The sequence below is a fragment of the Homo sapiens genome, chromosome 9, assembly GCF_000001405.40.
Source record: "Homo sapiens chromosome 9, GRCh38.p14 Primary Assembly".
NCBI classification, from domain to species: Eukaryota; Metazoa; Chordata; class Mammalia; order Primates; family Hominidae; genus Homo; species Homo sapiens.
This window is the reverse complement of record NC_000009.12, coordinates 65,188,169-65,195,827: the sequence shown is the minus strand read 5'-3', so window position 1 is coordinate 65,195,827 and position 7,659 is coordinate 65,188,169. Positions and strand designations below refer to the sequence as shown.

Here is a 7,659-nt window from a genome sequence, read left to right as displayed (position 1 = left end):
GTGGCCCTCCTGCCTGGGGGTGCTGAGCAGGTTGCTGGAGGCGGTGATCTCACTCTGAAGGAGACAGACACAGAAATGTGTGTACAGTTGATGGTGAGCATCTGAGTTGCGTCTTGTTAGTGAGGCCAGGAGTGCCTGTGTAAGCTGGAACAGATTAGGTATATGATTTGTGAAACGGAGTTTCATCCTAGATCTTCATCTAGTCAAAGGACTGTTTCCTGATTAGGCATTAGCTTAGTGGTTGCTAGTCTGTGTTGACCTTTGAAAGGCATGACTAGGCTAACTGAAGTTTCTGCTTCACACCATTTACAATTTAAAATTACCTAGAGCCTTGTGGGCCATTGGAAGAGACTGAATGTTTCACTCTGAAATGGGAGTCCTTGGAGGGTTTTGAGCAGAGGAGAGACATTCAGGTAATCAGATCACTCTGCCAAGACATCAGTCCGGTAGAGATCAGTCCGGTGGCACAAACCAGAGGGCTAGCAGTGGAGATGAGACAAAGAGTCAAACCCGGATAGAGTTTATTTGGAAGCTGGGTCAGTAGGATCTCCTGGTGGACTGAATGTGGGGTGTGTGAGGAAATGAGGATGGCGACTGGAAGTTCCTGGAAGGATGGGTTGTTGCAGGTTAGATAGGAAACTGTCTGCAGATGCAGTTTTGGGAAGATGATGTTTGTTTCGGCTGGGTATCATGCAGACAAGCGGAGTGTCAAGTCTGGAGAGACAGGTCTGGCCAGGGACTTAGATGTACAGCCCTCAGCATGTAGATGCCACTTAACTCTGTGAGGTGGCCGGGGAGTGAGTGCAGAGTGACTGGGAGGAGCAAGACTGGCATGGGCGAGATGGGGCGATTGCGGCCGTGAGGCCTGAGCAGTGCCTAGGAGGGAGAGGGAGAAGCAGTGTGAGCCTGCAGGCACGCAGGAGTCCAGTTGTACACGGAGGCGAAACACTGTTCAGATCCCGCTGCAGTGTTAACTATGGTAAAGGCAGAGTTGACCACCGGAGGAGTCCTTCAGCGTGGAGGCCTTCAGCGATCTTGGCAAGCACCAATTTTCATGGATGTAGGAGAATGGGAGCAGAGGAACTGGAGGCTGCAACTGTGGAAAACTTTTGTGGGGTTTTGCTGCAGAGAGAAGCAGAGAAATGAAGCAGTTTTTGGTGGAAGAAGTGGAATCAAAAGGTTTTGAGATGAGAGAGAGAACAGAGGGAAGAGCTGTTGGAATAAAGTCCAGGAAGAGTGGATGGTGTCTAGTGAGCAAGTGATGTGTGGCCCTGAGTAGAGGCATGGACAAATCATCTGTGCCTGAGCTGCCCGTAGAACTTTCTGTGATCATGGAGATGCACATCTGTGCTTCCCAATATTGTAACACTGGCCACAGGTTGATATGGACCACTTCCAGTGTGACTAGTGTGATTGAGGAACTGCATTTTAAATATTATGTAATTGTAATTAATTTTAATTTAAATAGCCACACATAGCTCCTCTATGGGGCAGGTCAGAGCTCTGATAAGGCTGGATATGGGAGGAAACCCTGGTATAGGGTTGACCGTAGAGGTTCTTTTGGTTTTGGAGTGAATCAGGAAACAGCCATCAGCTGAGTGAAGGTGAGGGTGGTGGTGGGTGTTTGAAGACAAGGGAAAAGTGTGAAAGAATTATTTGGAGAGGAAGGAAAGAAAGTGTGGACTGGGGATGTTTCCAATGTTTGAGCACGCAGGGCTCCACAGTTATCTACATTTGCTGTCCCTTGGAGCAGGAGAGAAGAAAATGGTTGGGACATATTCTGAACAGACTGTAGAGGTAAAATGTGTAGGGTTTTTTTTGTTTTTTTTGTTTTTTGAGATGGAATCTCGCTCTATTGCCCAGGCTGGAGTGCAGTGGCACGATCTTGACTCACTGCAACCTCCGTCTCCCAGGTTCAAGCGATTCTCTCACCTCTGCCTCCTGAGTAGTTGGGACTACAGGCACGCACCACCATGCCCAGCTGATTTTGGTATTTTTAGTAGAGACAGGGTTTCACCATGTTGGCGAGGCTGGTTTCAAACTCCTGACCTCATGTGATCTGCCCGCCTCGGCCTCCCAAAGTGCTGGATTACAGGCATGAGCCACTGTACCCGGCCAAATGTGTAGTATTTTTAATAGGATAAAGCCTACATAATTCTGTCCACAGTTCCTTTACTTAGAAATTGCTCATTTGTTCATGTTAATCCTATGTTTATTACAAATAACAGCATACAGGTTCCCCCCCCCCCACCCCATCATGTACAGCTGAATCACGTAGAATTTGAAGATCAAGATGATGAAGCCAGAGTTCAGTATGAGGGTTTTCGACCTGGGATGTATGTCCGCGTTGAGATTGAAAATGTTCCCTGTGAATTTGTGCAGAACTTTGACCCCCTTTACCCCATTATCCTGGGTGGCTTGGGCAACAGTGAGGGAAATGTTGGACATGTGCAGGTGGGTCCCTTTGCTGCGTATTTGGTGCCTGAGGCTCTGTGGATTTCCCCTCCATCAATCATCTTACCCTCTCATCCCCCTCAGATGCGTCTGAAGAAACATCTCTGGTATAAGAAAATCCTCAAGTCCCAAGATCCAATCATATTTTCTGTAGGGTGGAGGAGGTTTCAGACCATCCTGCTCTATTATATCGAAGACCACAATGGAAGACAAAGGCTTCTAAAGTATACGCCACAGCATATCCATTGTGGAGCCGCCTTTTGGGGTAAAATATGATTACAATAACTTGCCTATTGCCGAGATTAAACTTTACAGGCTGTGTTATTTTAGCTTTGTGCTTTTCCTTTCATAAAATTCCACTCCTAAGATGTTTCTCTTTTCTGGGAGCGGGGAGGTGGTTTGGAGTATATATGTACATCTATATCCAAATCTAAGTGTCCATATCCAGTATGTTAAACTAGAATCTAAAATTTCTGGTTTGCTATATTTCTTTTTTTCCTTTTCCTTTAAGACCCTATCACTCCACAGGGAACTGGTTTCTTGGCAATACAGTCTGTCAGTGGCATAATGGTAACTATCTTGGATGATTTCTTTTACAGATTGGTTTGAGAAATATATCCTGAATGTGGGTTATTATGTACATGAGACTTTAAGTTGAAAATTACTCATTTTTATTAATATAAAGTAAATTTCCCTTTGCTTTTAATCTTCGTACATCCTTTTCAGTAGGGTGTGGGATTAGAGGAGGGGAGGTGGAAGAATTATAATGGTACATTTCCTATTTTTATGCATCTTTTGCATTTATTTAACCAAGCAAGTATTTAAGCAGTGCTCACCATGTGCTAAGCACTATATGAGGTTATGAGGAGCCGTCAGAGACCACCCAGACACAAGACTCCCTGCAGCTGTGCTGGGGTAGCAGTCTGTTCACTCCATTTTCATTTGACCAGTCAGGCAGGGCAGGGTTTACTGGTCCCATTTAACAGAGAAGAAAGCAGAATAATGAGCAGATGGAATCTTCCCTGGAGGTCCAAATTTTAATTTCCTAAACATTGCAACTGTATTTTTCTTTTCCATTTCGTTCCAAATAAATCATTATAGTAAAATTACATTCCTCTGAAATCACTCTCAGGAAAGTACTCAAGTAGCCTTTTTTTTTCTTTCTTTTTTTTTTTTTTTTTTTTTGAGACCGAGTCACACTCTGTCTTCCAGGCTGGAGTGCAGTGGCACGATCTTGGCTCGCTGCAACCTCTGCCTCCTGGGTTTAAGCGGTTCTCCTGCCTCGGCCTCCCGAGTAGCTGGGATTACAGGTATGCACCATCATGCCGAGCTAATTTTTGTATTTTTAGTAGAGACGGAATTTCGCCATGTTGGCCAGACTGGTTTCAAACTTCTGACCTCAGGTGATCCACCTGCCTTGGCCTCCCAAAGTGCTGGGATTACAGGTATGAGCCACTGTGCCTGGCCTCAAGTCACCCTTGTTAGTTTGGCTTACCAACTTTAAAGTTTTGGATTGCTTTTGTCAAACCAATGGGTTGCAAGTTCAGATGGTCTCTCTTGTTTTTCTTAACTAATTGTAAGTAAAATTCACTTTGGTAATTTATTGTGTCACATAGAATTGAAGTTTTTCTCTTGCTAATATTATTCCTATTTTCAAATTTTGGGGCTCCTGTTAGCCTGATTTTCAGATAGCTGCCACAGGAGTTGTCCTTGATCTGGATAAATCCATAAAAATTGTGAAGAAATTAAAGCTAACTGGTTTTCCATATAAAATTTTCAAGAACACTTCATTTATTAAGGTCTGTATATCTATATATTCTCATATTTATAAATGTCCATATTGTTTGAGAAAAGGAATGAAATACCTCTAAAATGTGGGCCTCTTATTTTTAGAAAAGTGTTTGAAATCTTTTATAAACTTCATATTTTGTTTGCTCCTTTATATTCTGTATTACTTAAATATGCTCAAAAAAGCAGTGGTAAACAGCTATTTAGGAATTGAGGCTGTTACTCCTGACTTCCATGTGAGACTGCCACAGAACTCATATTGAAAATATGTCATTTTATCCACTAGGTTTTGTTTCCTACTTTTTAAATTGGTGTTAAGAAAGGGAAAAAAATCACAAGTTTGTCTAACTCAGTAGAAAAATCGACAAAGCATTTGCAGACAACTTGGCAAGGGTACAGAGAAACGGATGTACTGTTTTTCAGTATTTTGGGAGGGTGGTTTGAGCAGCATTTATTGACAATTTCATTAGTGGGGATGTTTCTATTGAAAACAGAGTTAGGAAGTCATAAAATGTTCTTGCAATATAAGGTAATAATACCACTGGCGTTTATCTTACTGTTTTCATGTTCTAAGTGCATGCATCTGAGTAAAAGGATCTGGGCTGCAGTCCAGTCTGAGAGATGCCAGCAAAGGCTTCCTAGGCCAATTCAGTCCAGTAAATCCCTCTTCGATCTTCTCTTCCACACAGACAGCAGTGATGAGCATGCCCATGAACTCACATGATTATTTTGGGGAAAATGAAAGAGTTGTATTCTTTTTGAGGTAGTAATTCCACTTTCAGGGGCAAATACATTTTGATTATTTTATCACCCTTCAGTGAGTTGTTTTTGTTCTTTAATCACGGATGTATGTTTGAAGTAAGAAGTAAAGCATAAAGTATATGATTTTGTGTGTGTGTGTGTTTTTATCTTGCTATACCTGTAGGGAATGTTTAATTCTGCCTTGGAAGTGGCCAAATTTGAAGATGCTGTGATTCGAACTGTCAGTGGGATAAGGGGGCAGATCAAGAGAGCACTCTGAGCTCCAGAAGGAGCTTTCCAGGATAGCTTTGAGGATAAGCTGCGGATGAGCGGTGAGTGTCTTAAGTAGTGTTCAGGGCAGGGTGTTACCATTCATGCTTGACTTCTAGCCAGTGTGACGAGAGGCTGGAGTCAGGTCTCCAGAGAGTTGAGCAGCTCCAGCCTTAGATCTCCCAGTCTTATGCAGTGTGCCCATTTGCCTTGTGTCTGCAGTCCCCTGGCCACACCCAGTAACAGTTCTTTGATCTATGAGAATAGTTTCCTTAGCGAGCTTTCCCTTCAAATACTTTGCAGTCAGGTAGAGAAGTTTGGAGTGAAGATTTTGTTCTTTGTTTCTTCACAATATGGATATGAATCTTCTTTTGAAAACGTTAAAGTAAATTACCTCTTTTCAGATATTGTCTTCATGCGAACTTGGTATCCTGTTTCCATCCCAGCCTTCTATAACCCAGTAACATCTTTGTTGAAACCAGTGGGTGAGAAAGACACCTGGTCAGGAATGTGGACCACGGGCCAACTCAGGCTCGCCCATGGTGTCAGACTAAAGACAAACAAGGACTCTCTGTATAAGGTACTGGTCGTGTGTGTGTTAGTGGAGATGAAGCCTGTGCTCTACAGACAGGGAGTCACACAGACACTTTTCTATAATTTCTTACATACTTTGAATGTTCAAGTATAAAGTCTAATGTTAAATTTGATTGAACAATTGTATATTTGTGGGATATTTTGGAATGGAACACCAAAAAATGGTAATAGTGGTTCTTTCTGGATTGAAGGAAAACTTTTCTTTTTTAAAATAAATTTTATTTTATATATTTGAGGTTGACAACATGATCTTAAAGGATACATATAGATAGTAAACTGGTTACTATAGTGAAGCAAATTAACATAGCTACCATCTCACATAGTTAGATTTTTGTTTGTGTGACAGGAACAGCTAAAATCTACTTATTTAACAAAAATCCCAAAGACAATATATTTTTATTAACTATAGCCCTCATGATGTACACTAGATCTCTAACTTGTTCATCCTACATGTCTGCTACTTTGTATTATTTTAATGTACATCTCCCCATTTCCTATTGGTCATTTCCTATTTGGCCCATTTTTCAACTGGGTTGTTTTTCTGCTCTTAAGTTGTAAGAGTTCTTTACTGATTTTTGGATATTAACACTTTATCAGATATGTGGTTTGCAAATATTTCTTCCAGTCTGTAGGTTCCCCTTTCATTTTGTTGGTTGTTCCTTTGCTGTGCAGAAGCTTTTTAGTTTGATGCAGTCCTCCTTGTTTATGTTTACATTTGTAGCCTGGCTTGTGGTGCGATATCCAAAAAATTATTGCTAAGGCCAATGTCAAGAGGCTTTCCCCCTATGTTTTCTTCTAGGAGTTTTATGGTTTCAGGTCTTATTTGGGTCTTTGGTCTTGTATCTGTTTTGAGTTGATTTTTGTGTATGGTGTATGATCAGGGTCCAATTTTATTCTTTTGCATGTGAAAATCCTATTATTGAAGAGACTATCTTTTTTACCATTGTGTTGTCTTGTTTGCCCTTGTCAAAAATTAGTTGACAGTATATGTTTGGATTTATTTCAAAGGTCTCTGTTACGTTCCATTGGTCTATTTTTTTGTTTTTATGCCAGCACCATACTGTTTTGATTACTATAGCTTTGTAATGCAATTTTAAATCAAGAGGTGTGATGCCTCCAACTTTTTCTTTCACAGTGATCTGTTGGCTGTTTGGGGTTTTTTGTGGTTCCATATGAGTTTCAGGATTGTTTTTTCTTTTCTTTTCTTTTTTTTTTTTTTTTGAGGGGAAGTCTCACTCTGTCACCCAAGCTGGAGTGCAGTGGCATAATCTCGGCTCACTAAAACCTCTGCCTCCTGGATTCAAGCAATTCTTCTGCCTCAGCCTCCCAGGTAGCTGGGACTACAGGCACATGCCACTATGCCCGGCCAATTTTTGTAGTTTTAGTAGAGACAGGGTTTCACTATGTTGGCCGGGCTGGTCTCCAACTCCTGACCTCATGATCCACCCGCTGCAGTCTCCCAAAGTGCTGGAATTACAGGCGTGAGCCACTGTGCCTGGCCAGGATTGTTTTATTCTGTTCTGTGAAGAATGTCATCAGAACTTTGAGGAGGATTGTGTTAAATCTGTATATTTGCTTTGGGTAGTGTGAACATTTTAACAATATTAATTCTTCTGATCCATAAACATAGGATGTCTTTTCATTTGTTCATGTCTAAATTTCTTTCATCAATGTTTTATGGTTTTTAAGTGTACACATCTCTCACCTTCTTGGTTAAATTTATTCCTAAGTTTTTGTTTTTCTTTGATGCTATCGTAAATGAGATTATTTTCTTGATTGCTTCATCAGCTAGGTTATTTGTATACAGAAATG

The 7,659-nt window shown here is 41.3% G+C and overlaps 1 pseudogene; it reads left to right on the top strand.

The window, feature by feature from the left end:
• Positions 2,257 to 5,833, top strand: BMS1P12 (BMS1 pseudogene 12; annotated as a pseudogene).